Source organism: Homo sapiens, chromosome 7 (genome assembly GCF_000001405.40).
Source record: "Homo sapiens chromosome 7, GRCh38.p14 Primary Assembly".
NCBI lineage: Eukaryota > Metazoa > Chordata > Mammalia > Primates > Hominidae > Homo > Homo sapiens.
In genome coordinates this window covers 47,820,876-47,841,476 of record NC_000007.14, presented here as the reverse complement: position 1 = coordinate 47,841,476, position 20,601 = coordinate 47,820,876, and the positions used below count along the sequence as shown (strand labels likewise).

The window sequence follows — 20,601 nt, the reverse complement described above, 5'->3', positions numbered from 1 at the left end:
TAGAAAAGAATACAAGAGAATTACAAGACCAGTCATGCCAACTCTCAAGAGAAGAACAAGGCAGGGGCCTCCCAACTCGATATCCAGGCTTATTTTGAAACTGTAGCACCTGAGATCGTGTCATGACCTCGGGAGAGGTACTGAGGAGGGATTTCTAGGGAAGACTAGAGGTCTTACAAACCACAGGAAAGGGTGCACTGTTTCAAAAAATATTTTGGAACAATAGCTGCCCTTGTAGAAAAAGGTACTATTAAATCTTTACATCATACACACAAAAAATGAACTCCAGAACATTAGAGACAGAAAGGTGAAAACACAAAGTTTAGAAACTAGTCAAAGAAAATATACACTTTCGAGTAAGGAAGGATTTCAGAAACAGAAATATCTTTCTTAAATGAAAATTTGATAAGTGACATTACATCAGAATTGTTCATTTCTGTGTGACAGAAGATACCAGTGAGAACGACAAGCCCAGCCAGATTGTCATGTGCCTCCCCAGGGTGTGCCCACAGGTGCATGGGTACCCTACTCTGCGTCCAGGCTCCTCTGGCATCTCCCTGCCAAACCACAGGGAGGAAAATGGTGTGCCCACCGTGGTGTTCTCCCGCCCTCATGAGAAAACAAATGCCCTCCCGAATCCTAGTTGGGATCTGGCTTTTCTAGATCAAATAGGTGAGGAAATGGCCAATTCTACCAGGCTCCACTTCGAGGCTCTCCTCTGGCTCTCCAGGGAAGCCTGGGACTGGACGTGCCCACTCATCCCCTGGCTCTAGGCTGTGGCACTCCACCGTGCAGATGGTTTTGAGGAAGGGTGGGACGCTGGGAGAAAGTGCGAGGAAGCCCTGCCCAGCATTGCATGGTGTCTGCTGTGAAATAGCCTGAGTTCCCACCCCTGTTCTTTGTTTTGAGGTGTACATTGTTTTATGTGGCGACAATGGACTGTCAGAAACCAAGGAGCTCTCCTGTCCAGAGAAGCCCCTGTTTGAAAGGAATTCCAGACACACCTTTATCCTGAGGTATTCCAAAATATTTCACTGCTAGATTTGGGAAAGAGAGGCCAATCAGAATTGGTGTAACCTTATCACAAATACAAAACAGTAGAATACATAACATTGGTCTCTAATAGTGAGCATCGATTTATATACAAACAATTTTATGATGTATTTTTAGTTTATTATTCTGAGTAGATTAAACAATAGGTTTATGCGAGGCAAGGAAGGAAGGAGGGTGGGGAAAGAAGACTTACTGATTTTACATACTAGTAAAGTTCATAATCAGTGTTTTCTATGACACTAAACCTTCTGACCTTAATTAGGTTTGTCCCCAGTTTGTGACACATGGTGTCACAAAGATGGTGGGGTTGGAGAAAGAGTGAATTTAACAAGATAGGATGCAAGCACCTGGCGTCTTAGAAAATATGAAAGGACTGAGCTAAATTATTTTTTCTCCTGGTAAATTTCATGTATGATATTTATAGGTTTGGAGTATTATGTCTTCATTAAGAGAGAAAAGGTTAACTTTAGACTAATCCACACCAGAGACAAATACATGAACGAGATTTGTGTAACTTTGGTTTGGGAAAGCTGGTGGATATTGAAGGCCTGAGTGCAGGGTCACTGTGCTCGGTGGGATTTCCCATCCTCTGGCCGGGTTCCAGGGGGCTTCACATGTCACTCTGCATGTCAGTCACCTTTGACATGTCCCATCCACCCTCTGTGGGCCATCAGTGCCTTGAGGGTGAGCATTGGGGCTGATGGGATGCCAGGACCACACTGTCACCCACCCGGCTGAGATGCTGCTGTGTGTGCCTCCAGCGCTCCTGCCCAACTGGGCCTGCTGAGGAAGATCCGCCTCTGGCACGACAGCCGTGGGCCTTCCCCAGGCTGGTTCATCAGCCACGTGATGGTGAAGGAGCTGCACACGGGACAGGGCTGGTTCTTCCCTGCCCAGTGCTGGCTGTCTGCCGGCAGGCATGATGGTCGCGTGGAGCGGGAGCTCACCTGTCTGCAAGGGGGACTCGGCTTCCGGAAGGTAGGCTCCCTCCAGGTGGCCTCTCGTGGCGCACCTGGCTGACCGGCAGAGCATGGCACCTGTCTCTGCTTCGCTTGCCACAGTTGTGTCTTTGAACTCTTCTAAAGTGTATTCCTCTTTTCTTAGTTAATTACCACGATATCAAAATATTAAATGATACATTCATTGAGTGGCCATCCAAGCATGGATTAATTACCCTTCACAATTATTAATTATTGTAGTAATGCTTCTCTGTAATTGTAATAGCATTGCTGGAATTTATGGTTGCTGGTGGTCTGTGATGTCCAGAGCCCTGTAATTAAAGACTTTTCAGTGCCCTATGTGTGTCCCAAACAACCTAGATAACTATCAATAGAGTAATTACAGATGTGGTATAGATGTGGTCAGGTCCAGGATGGCAGGAGATAGCCAGAGTGACAGAATAACAGATAACCTCACAAACTAACCATGGAAGTCGTGATTTTTGCATGTCCTTTCCGTCTTTCCCTATATACAAACACATTTCATACAATTGTGATGATAATGTCATGCATTTTGCACTTTCTTTCTTTTTTTTTTTTTTTTTTTTTGAGATGGAGTCTCACTCTACTGCCAGGCTGGAGTGCAGTGGCACGATCTCGACTCACTGCAACCTCTGCCTCCCGGGTTCAAGTGATTCTCCTGCCTCAGCCTCCCGAGTAGCTGGGACTACAGGCACACGCCACCATGCCCGGCTAATTTTTGTATTTTTAGTAGAGATGGGGTTTCACCATGTTGGCCAGATTGGTCTTGATCTCTTGATCTTGTGATCCTCCTGCCTCGGACTCCCAAAGTGCTGGGATTACAGGCATGAGCCAACACACCTAGCTGCATTTTGCACTTTCTTATTCAACATTTTAGAGTAGGTCTCTTCATGAATTTTTAAAACATCATTTCAGGGCTATATAGTGGCCCACTGTGCATGACCATTTGCTGAAGACCTGTTGGGCATTTATAACTTTCTTTCATTTATTATGGTAATGACAACATTGTGGGAACTTTCATGTGTGACTCTGTGTCCCTGATGAGTACTTCCTGAAGCTGGGTCTCAAACAGTGGTAAAAGCCCAGTGAACTCAGACAGTCCCCAGTGTCGCCGGACCTTGCCAGGCCACTGGGCTTTCTTTCCAACCCGCCCTGTTGCCACCTGCGTTGATGAGAGGCCCAGGCTCAAGGCCTTGGCATTTTCAGGCCTGACATATTGCTAAGCTAGTAAGAAACATGATCACAAAGGATTTGAAACAAGTTTTCAATCAGCCACAGCATGTGGAAATTCTTCAACATCTAAAACTGAAGGTCCATTCAACTGGGGCTTCCTCTTAGACGACTGTTTCCATGTGAGAATGACTGTTTGGCTGAGGAACCATAGTTAACAACGGGAGACATACGTTGCTTATCCTCCAGCTGTTGTGCTTGAGAGCTTTTTGTGAGAAATGTAGGCTTATTAATTTAGTCACGTATGAGCACTTGTGTGTGCTGCGAATTGAGCGTTGCTTGTTGGCTAGTTTATTTACATAAAGAAGATATATTCTCATTCTGTTAGTACGATTTTTCTGGCATTCGCTTCTGTGCTCTGCTCATATTCCATAAGAGCAGTTCTGTATATACTTTTGTTTTTTCTAGAACAATATTGAGCCCCACGCATTATTTAAATTGAATTGGAACTTAAAATTTAGTGCAATTCCTAAACAACGTATCTCCCACTGTGTGCCAGACACTGTGGGCTACTGAGGACAGAGGTGGAGGTGACTCAGCCCCACTCTCAGTGTACTCAAAGCCCAGTTGAAATTAACTATGTTGCCAGGGAAAGTTCTGAGAGTGGAGGGGTTTTTGAAAGTCTCTTAGGAATATGAAGGAGAACCAAGGAGAGACTGATCAGAAGCTCTGGAGAGAAGGTCTCCTGAGGCTGGGAGTGAAGGCATTTGAGACCCATGCAGGTGAAGCTCGGAGAAGCATGTGCCAAAGCTCAGGAGGTGCCAGAGGAAGGCCAGGTGAGCCAGAGTCCAGCGTGATAGCAGTGTGGCTGTAGCAAGGGGGCTGCCAAGAAGGCTGAAGGAGGAGCAGCTTCAAGAGGCTTAGAATGAGGTACTGTTCACCTGCACCCACAGCCCACCTAGTACCCAGCTAACCAGCCAGGATAGCAGAGCCAGAGAGTGTGGGGAGTGCAGTGCTGTCTACCTGCACCACAGCCCACCTGGTACACAGCTAAGCAGCTAGGATGGAAGAACCAGAAAGCTCGTGGTCTCTGCTCAGAAGATCACTGCTTAACAGTACTTTGCTTTGCTGACAGAAATGCTCCATGTCAGGGAACACTTCTCCTGCTTTCCGTTTCAGCTTTTCTATTGCAAGTTCACAGAGTACCTGGAGGATTTCCATGTCTGGCTGTCGGTGTACAGCAGGCCCTCCTCCAGCCGCTACCTGCACACGCCGCGCCTCACCGTGTCCTTCTCCCTGCTGTGCGTCTACGCGTGTCTCACTGCCCTGGTTGCTGCTGGAGGGCAAGAGCAGGTGAGAGCCATCGCTTTTCCTTATAGCAGCTTCCAGATCCGACTACACTGTGGCCCCTTTTTGCCTAAGAAATCAACAAAGCTCACAGTTCTCCGAGAAAAGTTTAAACCAGGGGAAGCAAGCCTGGCTGCCTGGGGACCAGAGAAGGAACAGGAGGGCTCTGCCCGGTGTGGCACTGGGTGGCCCTGCACAGCTCTGACTCTGCTGGCTCGGTGGACAGCTGCTGTGTGGGAGCTCGTGCCCAGGCCCAGCAGCAGAACTTTTCCAGAGAGGCTGGCAGCCGGTTGTCTTTGAGAACACTCTTGAATTTTTTTTTAAGTTGGCAATTCATTTAGATTTTAAATAAATCCTCTGGACAAAAGAACGTAGAACCATTCTGATGGCCACATTTTCCCTCAAGATGCCAGTTTGCACTGGCAACTCTGGTCTGATTGTTCCTCATGAGATGTAGTAAATTACTTCCAAATCAGTGTCAGCAGTTAAAATGGAGACCCTCTCTTTCCTGAGGAAAAAACAACACAGCAGGACGTGGACTGAGGCAAAACTGACTTGTTTACTACGACAACATCATGGCCATTCATGCACCCAGCCCACCGGGTTCACCGCTGGGTCGTAGTGTGGCTGCAGAATGTGGTGACAAGGTCCGTTTCCGAGGTGGGGGTCAGCGACCCATCCATGGGACAGCCGGGCATAGTGGCTCCTTTATGACACCAGGTATCAGAGAGATCCAATAACAATTATGGATTGGTGGGATTAAAAAAATAACAGCGCACAGAATTTGTAAAAAGAGGATAAAGAAATATCATCAAGTAGCAGGAAGGGAACAGCTCCGTCCACCTGGAAATAGACCAGGGCCTGTGGTGAGGAAACCTACGGTCGGCCTCTTCTTTGAAGCCGACATGTTGTCTGATGTTGGACCACTAACCACTTTTCTCTGTTCATTGGTACCTTGTGGGTTGATGCCTTGCTGGATTGTAGCCATGATTCCATCCATGGAGCACATGCCTGGTAGAGAGTGGGTGCTCGGCAAGCATTTGTTCAATCCAAAACGATTTGTATAAGAAGAAACAAAATGATTTCTTGTGTTTTTTTCACTCCTGGGGTAGAAGAAGCCTTTGCTGGATTCCTTCTGCTTGTATCCATCATATCAGTTCTATATATAGTTCTATTTTTTTCTTAGAACGAATATTGAACATGAAGCATTATTTAAATTGAATTGTGGCCAGGCGCAGTAGCTCACGCCTGTAATCCCAGCACTTTGCGGGGCTGAGGTGGGCAGATCACCTGAGGTCAGGAGTTTGAGAGCAGCCTGGCCAACATGGTGAAACCATGTTTCTACTAAAAATACAAAAATTAGCTGGGCGTGGTGGTGCATGCCTGTAATCCCAGCTACTTGGAAGGCTGAGGCAGGAGAATCGCTTGAACCCGGGAGGCGGAGGTCGCAGTGAGCCAAGATCTTGCCACTGCACTCCAGGCTGGGCGACAGAGAAAGACTCCATCTCAATCAATCAATCAATCAATTGAATTGTAACTTAAAATTCATGATTCATGAAGAGAGCACTTTTATTAAATATAATGTATGTATTCACATTACATGTATTTGTAATTACACAATGACTGCGTTTTAAGCGGGACTCATATTGAGTTGATGTAATGGCTGCTGTTGCTTTGTTGCAGCCCCACTTGGACGTCAGCCCCACCCTTGGATCCTTCAGGGTGGGTCTCCTGTGTACCCTCCTGGCTTCTCCAGGGGCCCAGCTCTTGTCCCTGCTCTTCAGGCTCAGCAAGGTACCTGCGACTTGTCCTCATGGCCCTGTTCTCCTGAGCAGCCCCTTCATTGCTGGGGAACACGCTTGGCGAACCACCTCTTTCCTTCTGCAGGAAGCCCCGGGGTCTGCCCGAGTGGAGCCACACAGCCCACTTAGAGGAGGAGCACAGACCGAGGCACCCCATGGTAAATGTACATTAAAACTCTCAGAAACTCTCCGTGGGGCTGAGCCTTTTGCACCAATCTACTAAGTAGAAATTGTATCTTCTGTTTTCAATTTGCATTATGTTTATTATGAGTAACATTGAGCATCATTTAATGTGTGTAAAAGTCATTTTATTTTCTGTCATCTGTCCATTTTATTTGCCCACATTTATATGAACCTTATAAAATCCTTTTTTTTCTGAGGGACATCTAAATACTTTTCACCAGCTAAGTAAAGTAGGTCTTTGTCAGATGGATAGTGAATCCATTTTCTAGTTGCTAGTGCCATTTATTTTATTAATTAAACATTTTTCTCAAGCTGCCATGTTTCCTTAGGGCAGCCTCAAGTGGGTGTGAGGGTTGCCCAAGCCAACATCAGGACTGAAGCATCAACAAAAGTCCTCGTTCTAGCCTTATCCTCTCAGAAATACTCATTCTGGCTGAGTCAGGAAGGAAGAGTATTTGCTGAAGAAAGTAGTGTCCCCGCTAATCCTTAAACATATCCCTGTTTAAATGTATCACCCCAAAGCATCGTACATTGGATTTTTATTTTTTTGAATCAGGTCCTAATTCCTGGGGAAGGATACCAGACGCACAGGAGCCACGCAAGGTAAATCAATCATTATGCGCAGCAGCTAATCTTCTAGCATGAAATGCAAACAATTAGATTTCTCTGGCATCCTCCCTTGGCTATGGTCTGGCCATGGATGGGTCAGGCTCAAGGTGAGACGGACACAGGAAAAGATCAATGCAAGACCTGTTGTGCTGGCTGGGGGCCGTCCTCCCTAGAGGGAGGTCCCGTTTCCCAGGACACATGCCATGGCAACCCGGCTCTCCAGGTGGGTCAGAAAGAAGGGGTCTCAGCAGAGGCCTGAAACAGGAAGGAAGTGAAGCCCAGAAGAATTCAGAAAGCCCTGTGTGTCTACTCAGTAAATACCGGCAGGACCGTGGGAGAGACACTGTGGAGCAGCAAGGCTCGGGGTGATTGCTCAGTGAGCTTCTCCACCTCCTTGTGAGGAGGGTGCTCAGAGAAGCTGCCCCAGTGCTGGGAGCTCCGTTCCAGGTCTCAAAGAGGCCTGTGACACGGGGCAGTTGGAGGGCAGCTTCCAATGGCACAGCTGCGTTACCCCATTGCTATAGTGCTTTTCAGATCTGTGTGACTGCCCCTTTGCTTACGTGGGATTCTGCTTTGTGGGACCTGTGAGGGCACACATGGTGCCCTGTTTGCCAGGCTCTAACTCTCTGGCGGCAGCTCCACCACTCCTGTTCCTGAGGGTGGTACTCTCGATCCGCTGCTGGAAACACAGTGTGCCCCCCATACCCCAAACACCATGCCGGAGCTCTGCGCCCTCCCCACTTGGAGGCTTTGTTCAACCCGTTGCTCTTGGCTGGATTCCCCTCTGTGGCAGGGTCATGCCTCCCAGAGAACCAGGTGCAATCACCCTGACTGTGTGGAGCTGCTGTTAGGCCACCAACATTTCCCCAGGGGCACCCACCGTCCCCCAAGGGGTACAAAGGAGCCGGCTCCCAGGCTGCCTGTGCTTCCTCCCTCAGAAGTCTTTAGAGGCCTCAGCACCACACCCCGCCCATGCCAGGCCTGTCCTCTGAGAAGGCGGCAAGCCACACCACTGTTGAGCGTCACGTGTGAAGCCCTGTCTGTGGAGATATTAACCTTGGCATGACCTTGTCATTCTAGCAACCTGCATCAGCCATTCTCTCTGGGAGTGGCAGGGCCCAAAGGAAGGCGGCAAGTGACAATGGCACAGCTTGTCCAGCCCCTAAGCTGCAGGTTCATGGGGCTGACCACAGCAGGACTTCTCTGATGGGGAAAAGCCACTGCTGCCCTCCCCACACTCAAGGTAACTGTGGCTTGCAACCACAGCCCCCTTCCTGCCAGTCCAGCAGACCTGCAGCCATTGGGAGAGGCAGGGCAAGCAGAGTCACAATTGGGCCAAATGTCACTGAATACTCTAGTCTCATCTAAAAACCAGGCATGGGCCCACCCAAAACTGAGGCGTCCAGCTTTCCTCCAAAGTCTTGGTGCTTTCTGGCAGGTACTTAACGTAAGTTTGGTCAGATCTTTTTAAAAGCCAATAATACACTCATAACCTTTTTAAAGTATTCTGGAGTTTGAAGCTTTGCATGTTTTAATGCTAATGACAGTGAACGATAGTCCCAGCTTCCAATTATGCTGGAATCTCAGCAATGAGCTGGTAGAGGCAGGGATTACCCTAGAACAACCAGGGCTGTGCCCAGGGTGATTGAATCCTGCTGCAATCCTAGGAGGGTGGCCAAATGATGGCAAAGAGGAGACTGTGGTGGGCCTGGCCTGGCAGGGATGTGTGGCTTTGGGATCCTAGAGCCACATGGTACATGAGCAGATGGTTTTCTCGAGGCTCCAGCTCAGCCCAGGTCCTTGTGTGCTGGATTCAGGTGCTTGTTCACAGTGACTGGCAAGGCCTGTGCGTGCAGCTATGTTTGGTTGGGCCCAGGCTGCACAGCACCTTACACACAGTGGGGCACAAAAAAGATCCTTTCTGTGAGTGAACAAGCTTCAGGCAGGTGAGCCTTCAGCGTAGGCACAAGTATCAGCAGTAGATCAGAAGGGAAACTCATCCCAAGGACCGACGACCCTCCCAGACAAACTGGACACGTGGCCTGGGCTGGAAGGGAGCACTCAGGAGTGCAAGGCTGACACTGGCAGACCAGCCACCGATGAGGTTGTGGAGAAGGTGTGGCTTAGGACAACGCCACTGTCCCGGCCACAGCTCACATTCTTTGATTTATGTTCAGCCAGTGTCCCTCGGTTTGCCTAATACCAGCTTCCCAGCAAGAGCTTCTTAGTTGTTGAAAGGTGTTGTACTCGATTGCCCTAGGTTGACATGGCATCCTGCCTCTAAGAGCAGTTGCTAGAAAACGAGCTAAGACGGCTGCACCCAGAGGTATGAAGAGCTGTATGGGGCAACCTTCTGGTCCTGTATCTGGCCCTGGGGAAATCACACAGCAGAGAGGGAAGGTTGAAAACTGCAGGGGACCAGTCACAGCCCTGTCCCTTGTGGTGTGTGGGACTTGATCCAAATCAGGGCAGACCCTCAGATTCCAGGTCAGCCTGCTTAGTTGTTTGGGGTCTGAAATGGAAACTGACCTCTCTGCCTCTGATGTTGGGGACCCATAGGTCCCTATGCAGGTCAGAAGAGGAGATCCCCAAAAGCCTTCTGAGGGCACAGCAAGGCAGGAGTTGCTGCTCACCACCCCCATCCTGACCCCAGACCCTTAGGTGAGCACCAATGTCCCAGCTCAGCAGTCGGGCAGGAGTTCCCCTGTTCTCAGCCTGTGCGTTCTATTCAGGACCTCAAGGGATTGGAGGAGGCCTGTGGCTAGGAAGGCCCTCTGCTTCACTCAGTCTGCTGATTCAGATCTTAATGCCACCTGGAAACACCCCCAACCCCGAACACACTCAAAAATCACATTTAACCAAATGCCTGGGCACCCTACGACCCAGCCTAGTTGACACCTAAGATTCACCACCACACTCCGCGTGGATGGAGATGCCGAGGTCTCTTAAGCTGCCTTGTCTCTGTCCTACTCTTCCGCAGCACCCAGCAGTGGTTTGGAGGGACTAATGCCCCAGTGGTCAAGGGCCCTTCAGCCTTGGTGGAGCTCTGCAGTGTGGGCCATTTGTGGGACCGCTTCTTTGGCCTGCAGTTTGGGGACAGGATTTCTAGCCTACAGGTGAGCTGTAGAGTTTTTCAAACATCCTCAGGTCCTCAGATGGAAAGTCTCGCATTTGTAAACAAATCCCTGCATTTCTGGGAACTCATCAGATGCAGGCTCCAGATGTCACTATTGCTATTTTCTCCCTCATTTCTCCCTCCCATCTCCTGGGGTAAATAAAATCCTATGCAGATCCCAAAGGGTGGCTTGGCCTGGCCAGCTCTGCCATGGCAGCAGGCCTGGATGGGGTCCAGATATTAAACAAGAAGCTGCAGGACGCCCACCCAAGGAAGGAAGGAACCCAGCTGCAGAGCTCCTGAGAGGAGCAGGTTCCCAGCCAGGAACTCTGGCTAGAATATACTGTTCATGGTCTCCCATCATTTGAAAAAGCGTATGCCTTCGGGACAGGGATTATGATGCATGTGTCACAGATTCTGATCCTGTCACTCCGGCACATGGTACCTCTCTGGCTCCTGTACAGCTTGGACTCGCCATCGGAGACCCCAGGGTCACTCAGTGTGGTTCATAAACCACAAAGAGTAGCCTCAAAGCCAAGGCCCTTTCTTCCCGTCTCTCCCCTCTCCTCAACTGTAGATGTTGAATCACTCTGTGAGGATGGGCAGGTACTTAGACCTCTCTTGTGCCTCAGTTTGCTCATCTGTAAAATAGGAACATCAGAGAGCTTAATTCTTAGGGCTTGGGGAGGAGCAGCTGAAATATGAAAGCAGTCCTGTTAGCATCATGCCTGCCCCTGCGGAGCACCCGCCAGCATCCAGCTTTGTTGTTGTTGCTGCTATTATTATTATTATACCCCAACCCATTTTCCTCCCCCTTCCCCTCTCTGTGCTCTGTTTCATCTGCCTGTTGGGTTTTCCTTTCTCTTTCCCACTAGGCAGCTTCAGGGAGGTCGATGTCCTCTTGGCAGACAAGGGTTCCCCTCCGATGAGCAGAAAGACACTGCCCATGTCCAGCACCACCCCCACAGCAGGCTTCCTGCCACGGCGAGGCCATAGGCCCTCTCAGGCAGTGTCCCTGTGCTTAGGCAGCAATGACTGCTGGGTGGCCTGCTCCCTTAGAGGGGGCTGACCACTGCACTTTCCCTGGGGGCAGGTTTGGCCAGGAGCAATGTGTGCAGTGGCTGCACCTGCTGTCCCTCTCCGTGGTCTGCTGTATTTTCATCACCCAGCCACTTATGGTAAGAAACACCCTCCATGGTAGAAGTGCCTTCCATCAGCAGGGGACCTAGATGGGAAGGGGAAATAGAGGCTTCATTTTGGTTGTGTATGACTTTTCTTTATACCCTGATTTCAGCTGTGGTTGGAGAGAACCAGGAGCCAGGCTCTGTGCTAAGCTGCACATGGGCCTGTTCTTTAATCCTCATAAAAATCTTTGAGGAGGGTACCACTTTAACCCACGTTTTTTATTTGAGGAAATTGAACTCAGAGAATTTAGGTCTCTTGGGCGGGGCCATGCCTGGTGAGTAGTTGGGCTGGGAATCCAAGGCAGTGACTACTGGTGTCTTTAAAACTGGGAGATGGAGTCCTGTTCATGATTAGGGGACGGGAGGACAGCTCTGTGTGGAATGAACACAGACATAGGGCGGCTCTCTGCGCTGTCATGTTTTTCCTTCCAGGTATGCCTCATGGCCTTGGGTTTTGCTTGGAAAAGAAGAGCTGACAACCACTTTTTTACTGAGTCTTTATGTGAGGCTACCAGGGATCTGGACTCTGAATTGGCAGAACGTTCCTGGACTCGCCTCCCCTTCTCTTCAAGCTGCAGTATTCCTGACTGTGCAGGCGAGGTTGAAAAAGTAAAAAAAATTACCTATGCAGTGCAAATTGAGATTTAAAAAACTACTTTATATTCTATCATGCATATCTGAATGTAGGCTTTGAATTCAGATTGGGTTGCATCTTTGGAGACCCATGGGATGTCTTAATTTCTTATGCTTCTTTGCACATACCTGTATGATAGATGAACACATAGGACTTATTTTTTTTTAACTCCAATCCTAAAGAAGTTAGAGCATCAAGAAAATGAGCATATTTTAAAATACTGAAGCAAGTAAGAACTCTAATTCTTGGCCATGATTTTGGAGAACTTTTAGTCCATTTGCCCTTCAGTGAACCCACAGAAAATGTACTCCTCCCCATCCTTCCTCTCTCCCTGCCTTCATCCCTTTGTCCCTTCCTCCCTCCCTTTCTTCCTTCTTTTATTCAGTTTTGCCTGTTGTATGTGTAGCATTCTGTTGGGCAGTGTGAATGATATGAAGGAAGAGAGAGGTCTGCTGGCCACCGCAAAGACATTCACAGGCTCATTGACTAAGCACCTGAAATGCATGTGCAATTCTGTACTCTTGTAATAACCACAAGTCACTTACGACCAAGGACCCAATCCCAGTGCATTGAGAGTCAGACCCCGGTCTGGGCCTCTCCTCATCTCCACCCTCCTCCTCGCAAAGGATCCTAATAAACTCCATGTCTGAGGACCTGTCTGAGGCCTCTCAGCCCTGCCTAAAACCAAGGCTGCTGCTGCTGAAGATGGGTGGTGCACACAGGCTATGTACTAGTCATTATGCTGTTTTACATCTACACTGTATTTACATTTATCGGATCATTTGTTCCTTATAACACCTGATGAATTAGGCAGCATCCCTGCACCCCATTTAAAGATGAGGTGAAGCAATTAGACCCAGGCTACACTGCAGTAAAGGGGAGTCTGGGGCCCAAACCTGGCCCACCTTGCCCTTTCCTCCTGCACCCCCCGCCCTGCAGCACCTTAGCTCTTGAGAAGCAACGTTGCCCTTGTTCCCTCATACCTGTTGGATCTCAGCTTTCCTTTCTGCTTGGAAGGCTCTCCTTCCTCTTCTCCCCTCGTACAGCTGTGCCCTGCTGTGCTGCCAGTTTGTTCATTTTCTTTCTATCATCCCAACCTCAGAGGTGAGGCTCCTTCTGATGAATTCAGCCTGATCCTGAGGGCCAGGCTGGCATCTCCAAACCTATGCATGGCTCATTAGCATCTTAGAGTTGGGGTGCCCCCCTACACCCAAGCCTCCCCACGGATCTCTCCGCCACACGTGTTCCTTTCTCAGAACAGCACAACAGCTGAAGGGAGTAACTTAAGCCCCAACACTCTGCATGTGCAGCTTTATATTGTTCACATTCCTGCTGTCAAGTTCCTAGAAGCCCAGAGTCTCTAGGAGGAAGGACTGTCTCTGGTTCCTCAGATGTCCCCAGTGCCTGATCCAGTGAATGTGTGTTGAATGAATGAATACCTACAATGAGTTCACTTATCTGGCTACTGTTATGCCCTGTCACGAACAGAGTATGAAAGTAAAATTGATTTTTGAAAAAAGAAAAGAAAGGTCATTTCTTGCTAAGACTATACTTTAAAATGATTTTTTCATACCTTGAAAGTCTCTAAGAGAAAATACTGTGCCAGTGCCCAAGATAATTGCTGCTGTAATTTGACAGTAGTAGACATACCCCTCGTGTACAGCAGCTCTTTGTAATAGCCCAACTGCAATCCCTGCCAAAAAAACTTGCCTGGGACATGAGCAGATTTTTAAAAATGGGTCTACCCCCATCTCTGATCCCTTCCCCAACAACCTGGTCTATGTTATCCATACAAAGTACCTCTTTGTTCCCAAATGCCAGGCTGAAGGCACAGCACAGCAATGACACATTCCTTGGCTTGGCAGGAGCACCAGGGGCCTCTCTCCTTCCACCCACCAGCCCGCAGCTCACAGCACTCTTGTCCCTGACAGGTCTTGGCTGCCCGACAACAAGCTCGCCACCTGCGCTGGGCGCATCCACCATCCAAGGCCCAGCTGAGGGGCACCAGACAGAGGATGAGGAGAGAGAGTCGCACACGGGCTGCCCTGAGGTGGGTGGCGGCTTCTGTCGGGAGGGCTTGCTCCACTCCAGCTCCCTTCTCGGAGGGAGTACCCCACTGCCGCTGGTCCTCCTGGGAGATTGTTCTCCTGGAGGAGTGGGGAGTGGAGGTGGGGACCACCTTGCTGTCCCCAGAGCCATCCTTATTTATATAACAACCTGTGCTGCCCAGCAGATGGGAGGAATTCAGGGAAACAGAATTGAAGTCAGAAAACTCAGTTCCACAATTTGCCCATGTTGAGAAGTTGATTAAGAAAGCTTCCTCCTCTGGGCCTCAGCTTCATGAATCCAGCATGGATTCACACACACAATTGGATTTCATCCCACCCCATACGTGTGCTTAGCACATGGTCTGGGACTTCTGCTTCTCCAGCTGGGACACACAGGAATGTGGAAGCTGTAAGATAAATGCAACACCTCTTCTTAGGGCATGGATTTAGCCCAGTGACAGGTTATTTAAAAATAAGTTTAATATTCAGATATGCACAGCTGTGTTATGGTTCTCATAAAATATTTTGAATTCTTTTAGATAAAACACAAACCTTAAGAACTATCATGCTGTGGCAAAGCTCTCCAACTTCTACCTCCAACACATTTCTCTCAGTGGTACCATCCCCCTCCCATCATGGTGGTGCTGGATGGCAGCCACCACAAGGAGCCTTCTCTAAATGCTAGCTAAAATCCCTCTTCAAATTCGGAACATGAATTCGGTCTCCTACCAATCTTTCTCATGTAGTTTGTCAAGGACTTGGGAATTTCTGATAGTTTTTTAAAAAATAGCATGTCACAGAAGCACTTCCAACCATCTTCCTTAAAAAACAATCCCTTCATACAGTGTGGCACACCATTAGCTTCCCCTTAAATATTTTCATATCCCTTTCCAAGGAGAAGAGCTGCGGTTGTGTTAGGATGTCACATTTAAAGGAGAGTGGGAGAGGAATTCCAGGAAGATGGAGCAGTGGCCAAGTTTTTTAATCTTATCAAACCTCCTCATAAAAATAGAGTAATTAAGATAGCAAAAACAAAACCCATAGAAAACATGCACAACAAAATTAAATGAGATGGCCCCCACCACACACACCTCCAAAGGCACTCAGGTGGGGACCAACCAGAGAGTGCACCCACCCTATAGCTTAGCAGCTACGGAACATGGTGGCGGGAAGGATGGGGTACCTGATGTATCTGAGAATAGAACTCCAAGCTCCTGTAGGTGTTGTTCACTGGGAGTGTGGTGGGCGCATCTTGGAGGAGTTTGCAGAGTCAAGTTCACAGGTGAGTGCAAGGTCTGGAGGTCTGGAGCTGCTGGGCCAGCTCAGCCCTCAGAACTAACCAAACCCAGCTCTGCCAGGACGTAGCCCTCTGGGGTGGGGTGGCTGGGGGCGCTGCTGGGGGAAGCATCCAAACCAAGCAGAACAGGCCCAGAGAAAGCATTTAGGAAACAGGCAAAACTAGTAAAGTATTAGGTTATAAAATTAAAAGACAAAAACCAATATCATATTTATATACAAGCAAAAGTCAGAGATTTAATACAAGACCATATTCAACAAAGCAAATAATAAATACAACAAAATACACTTAGGCATAATCTTAAGTATAAGTTTCTCTAAGATTTCAGTGAGGAAAACTTCCCTATGACTTAAAATCCAGACACAAAAAGGGAAAATAAAAGTAAATTGGATTACATAAAACTTGAAGAAGAGAAAGAAATAACTCCTACGTAAAAAGAAACTATTTGTAAAATAAAATGGCAGTGACAAACTAGGAAAAAATACTTGTAACAAAGTTTTAATATTCTTTTTTTTTTTTTTTTGAGACAGAGTTTCGCTCTTGTTGCCCAGGCTGGAATGCAGTGGCTCAATCTCAACTCACTGCAACCCCCGCCTCTCAGGTTTAAGCGATTCTCCTGCCTCAGCCTCCCAAGTAGCTGAGATTGCAGGCATGTGCCACCATGCCCGGCTAATTTTTTGTATTTTTAGTAGAGACAGGGTTTCACCATGTAGGTCAGGCTGGTCTTGAACTCCTGACCTCAAGTGATCCACCCACCTCAACCTCCCAAAGTGCTGGGATTATAGGCATGAGCCACCACACCTGGCCTAAAGGACCAGCAACTCTTTAAAACAAAAAAAAAGTGGACTGGAAAAGTGAACAGAGAGTTCACAGAATAAAAGAAGTTCAAATGGCCCTTTCACTTACAGTAAGAGAATTGCAAATTAAACTGTGAAAATCCAAAAATGTGACCACATACTCTGTTAGTGAGGCTATGTCAAATAGAGCATTTCACACAGTGCTGGTGTAAATGCAAAATGGTACAGCCACTATGGGGGAAATTTGAAGTCTCTACACAATGATAGATTCATTTACGATTTATCCAGCATCCACACTTTTTACAATCACTCTTACAGACACAGTAAGTAAAACATGAACATACCCACACACAAACCAATTTATGTGGGACCTTTTGTAATGAGAATATCCTAGAAAGAACCCACACGTCTTGCTGGAGGGACAGGAACACAGTGTAGTAGTGTCCAGCTATGTAGAAGCATGAAGACTACCCCTCCAGGCTCCTAGGGAGAGGCCTGCAGGATTCGCTGCAGGAGGGAAGCCAGGTAGAGGAAAGCGGGTATGCTGTTCTGCCCACTGCTTAATGAAAGGGGACAAGAATATGCGTGCCTGTAGATCCGCTCACCCTAAATAAAACAAGGGAAAGGCAATCCAGGCACCTTTAGGAAATAATAATAGTTACTTATGGGGAGAGAAGGAATAAGATTTTTTTAAATCTGTGTTAAGGTTAAAAATTTGACCATATAAACCTAGTCTCTAAGGACGGAAAAGAACTAGGGGAAAAAACTCTAAAGCTGTTTTCACCAATCATATTGTTAGTGGAGCGTTAGTATCTTTATTTTCATTGTTGATTTATTGTGGGGTAAAGGAAATGAAGAATTCTGTTATTTTCTAATTCTGTCATTCCTGGTATCCTTTAAAAGTGGAATTCTTGATATGAGAGAAAGAAGGTACAGATTTGAGTTCAAGGAAGTCAAAACTCTGCAGTCCTGAATTTGAATTGAAAGTATAGGTATGGAATCATGTGGGTTTTTAAAAATATTTTCCTAGATTTTTCCAGCAAGAAAAGGCCTAGAAACAGCCCAGAAGCAACACACACTTTTAGCACCTAGATTTGGTCCACCAAAAAGAATTAGAAGTAACTGGGATTCCTGATTTGAAGTTGGTGATGGAAAATGTACAAGATGAACCTGGAATGTTTCTTAGGCAAGGGAGCAATTAATAACTGCTAGAGTCATTGTCAGAGGACCAAGAAGCCAGTTTGAAGAGGCTCACATTGGTCAAACATGGGATAATTTGACATCAAGATTAGAAACTACTGAATTGAAGTTCATGAAATCTATCTAAAGCCATGAGCTGGTAACAACACCCACAATGTAATTGATCAATGTTGGTGGACACTCAGAAACCAACTTTATAAAAGCCAGTGAAAGCCTGCCTTTCCTATACAGACCATACCCCTGGGAAACCACATAACAGGAGGGGGGATATTTCTCTTTAGAGAGGAATTCCAGCTAATGAATGGGGACCAGGTAATAGAATTAGAGCCTGACCATTTTTGCAGTTTTAATGAAGTAATGAATCTGGGCATTGCTCATTAACAGTGGTCAATATAAAAGAGAGAAGGAGAGAGAGAGAAACATCAGACATTATGTGTTTCCTCGTGGGAAAACACCATCATCTATGAGGCAACCTACCCAAAACAGTCCAATCTTAATCTGATGAAGTTATTTTGCCAACTTGTAGTTTACAGTAAGAGTATGTTGATATCACCCTGGAAAGCAAGACAGAAATCTATAGTACAAATAACCACTTGCTCAACAAATAAATCGCAAAGAAGCAAAAATAAATAAAGATGATACCTATGGACTGGAAGAGACACGAGGAGGAAAGTAATTAATGTAATTCACCATATTAATAGACTAAATAAGAAAAACCACATGCTCGTCTCAATAGAGGCAGAAAAAGCATTTGATAAAATTCAACATTAATTCATCCAAAAAAAAGAACCTCTCAGCAAACTAGGACTAGAAGTAGGAATAGAAAAGAGTTCCCTGAGCTAATAAAGGGTATCTATGAAAACTCGACACCTAACATCATACTTAATAGAGAGATATCGAATGTTTTTTAAGATATCAAACAAGGCAAAAATGTCCTCTCCGATCACACCTATTGAACATCACATTGGAAGTCCTAGCCAATGCAATAGGCAAGAGAAAGAAGTTAAAAACGTATTGATTTGAAAGGAAGAAATAAAACCATCTAATGGCAAATGACATAAATTTTCTTTGCAGAAAATCCCAAATAATTTACAAAAAAAAAAAGGGTTCTGGAACTAATAAGTGAATTTAGCAAGTTTGCAAGACACAAGTCAATATAAAAAAGTAAATTATATTCCTATATACCAGTAATGAACAATTGAAATTTAAAAAGGAATACTATTTACAACAGCACCAAATAAATGAAGTACATGGATGTAAGTCTAAGAAAACGTGTGCAGGATCTGTATGTTGAAAACCACAAAACACTGATGAAAGAAGTCAGGAAGATCTGAATAAATGGAGAGATAGACTGTGTGCATTGATTGGAGGACTCAGTAATGTTCAGAAGTCTATTCTTTCTAATTTGATCTGTAGTTTCAATGCAATACCACAGCTGTTTTTTTTTTTTTTTTTTTTTTTTTGAGACGGAGTCTCACTTTGTCACCCAGGCTGGAGCGCAATGGCGCGATCTCGGCTCACTGCAACCTCCGCCTCCCGAGTTTGAGCTGTTCTCCTGCCTCAGCCTCCCGAGTAACTGGGATTACAGGTGTCTGCCACCATGCCTGGCTCTTTTTTTTTTTTGTATTTTTAGTAGAGATGGGGTTTCACCGTGTTAGCCAGGATAGTCTCGATCTCCTGACCTCGTGATCCGCCTGCCTTGGCCTCCCAAAGTGCTGGGATTACAGGCGTGAGCTACTGCGCCCGGCAAAATACCACAAGCTTTTTTTTACAGATATTGACAAACTGATTCTAAAATTTATATGGAAAGCAAAGGAACTAGAATAGCCTAAACAATTCTGAAAACAATGAGCAAAGTCAGAGGACGCACACTATCTGAATTTAAGACATACTATACAGCTGCAGAAACCAAGGCAGCATGATATTTGGGGACAGATAGACACGCAAATCAATGGAACAGAATAGAGAACACAGGAATAGACTTACCCAAATATGCTCAACTGATTTTTTGGCAGAGAGAGAAAGATGATCCAATGGAAAAAGGATGATCTTTTAAAAATGGTGCTGGGGGCCGGGCATGGTGACTCATGCCTGTAATCCAAGCACTTTGGGAGGCCAAGGCAGGTGGATCACCTGATATCAAGAGTTTAAGACCAGCCTGCTCAACATGGTGAAACCTCATCTCTACTAAAAATACAAAAAATTAGCATGGCGTGGTGGTGGGTGCCTGTAATCCCTGCTACTCAGGAGGCTGAGGCAGGAGAATCGCTTGAACTGGGGACGGGGAGGTTGCAATGAGCTGAGATTGTGCCACTGCACTCCAGTCTAGGTAACAGAGCTAGATTGCCTCAAAAAAAAAAAAAGTGCTGGGAAAACTTGATATTGATATGCAAAATAAATAAATAAATAAACCCCAACACACATCTCACACTATTATACAAAAATTTTCTCCCAGGGATTTAAAAGCCGAGTTTCATTTAAAATCTTCTGGCCCGGCATGGTGACTCACGCTTGTAATCCCAGCACTTTGGGAGGCTGAGGCAGGTGGATCACCTGAGGTCAGGAGTTCTAGACCAGTCTGGCCAATATGGAGAAACCCCGTCTCCACTAAATATACAAAAGTTAGCCGAGCGTGGTGGCACGTGCCTGTAGTCCCAGCTACTCGGGAGGCTGAGACAGGAGAATCGCTTGAACCCAGGAGGCAGAGGTTGCAGTGAGCCAAGATTGTGCCACTGCACTCCAGCCTGGGTGACAGAGTGAGACTCCGTCTCAAAAATAATAATAATAATAATAAATCTTTTGCAAATTGAAGCACTCAGGTACCTACATACAGGGTCTGTATGGATGCTAACTTAAAAACTCTTCTTACAGAGACATTTCCATGGACATCCTCATGCTGCTTCTGCTTTTGTGTGTAATATATGGGAGATTTTCCCAAGATGAATACTCCCTCAATCAAGCTATCCGGAAAGAATTTACAAGGTAGGAGGTTTGGGTAACTCTTCCAGATCTGGGGCCATTGCACTATTCCATAGCCTGTGTGCACCTTCCCCATGTTTCACATCCCACATATGAAATACTGGAAAGATTGTCACCATTTCCCTGGTAGTAATAAAACCCCCTTCCATTCACAGACTTTGGACACGTTCTTAGCATCTCGTTTGGGGTAAATAGCAAAACAA

General features: G+C 46.6%; 1 protein-coding gene across 2 annotated transcripts in view; it reads left to right on the top strand.

Annotated features, from left to right (window-relative positions):
- Window positions 1-20,601, top strand: part of PKD1L1 (polycystin 1 like 1, transient receptor potential channel interacting) — a 186,293-nt gene that overhangs the window by 119,430 nt on the left and 46,262 nt on the right. For both annotated transcript variants that reach the window (XM_017011798.3, NM_138295.5), the window contains 12 exons: window positions 910-1,016; window positions 1,815-2,031; window positions 4,383-4,556; window positions 6,234-6,344; window positions 6,438-6,510; window positions 7,092-7,138; window positions 8,225-8,387; window positions 10,125-10,260; window positions 11,353-11,437; window positions 11,876-12,052; window positions 14,009-14,127; window positions 20,291-20,401. In XM_017011798.3, coding sequence (XP_016867287.1) covers window positions 910-1,016; window positions 1,815-2,031; window positions 4,383-4,556; window positions 6,234-6,344; window positions 6,438-6,510; window positions 7,092-7,138; window positions 8,225-8,387; window positions 10,125-10,260; window positions 11,353-11,437; window positions 11,876-12,052; window positions 14,009-14,127; window positions 20,291-20,401 — 1,520 coding nt within the window. The remainder of the gene's footprint in view (window positions 1-909; window positions 1,017-1,814; window positions 2,032-4,382; window positions 4,557-6,233; window positions 6,345-6,437; window positions 6,511-7,091; window positions 7,139-8,224; window positions 8,388-10,124; window positions 10,261-11,352; window positions 11,438-11,875; window positions 12,053-14,008; window positions 14,128-20,290; window positions 20,402-20,601) is intronic.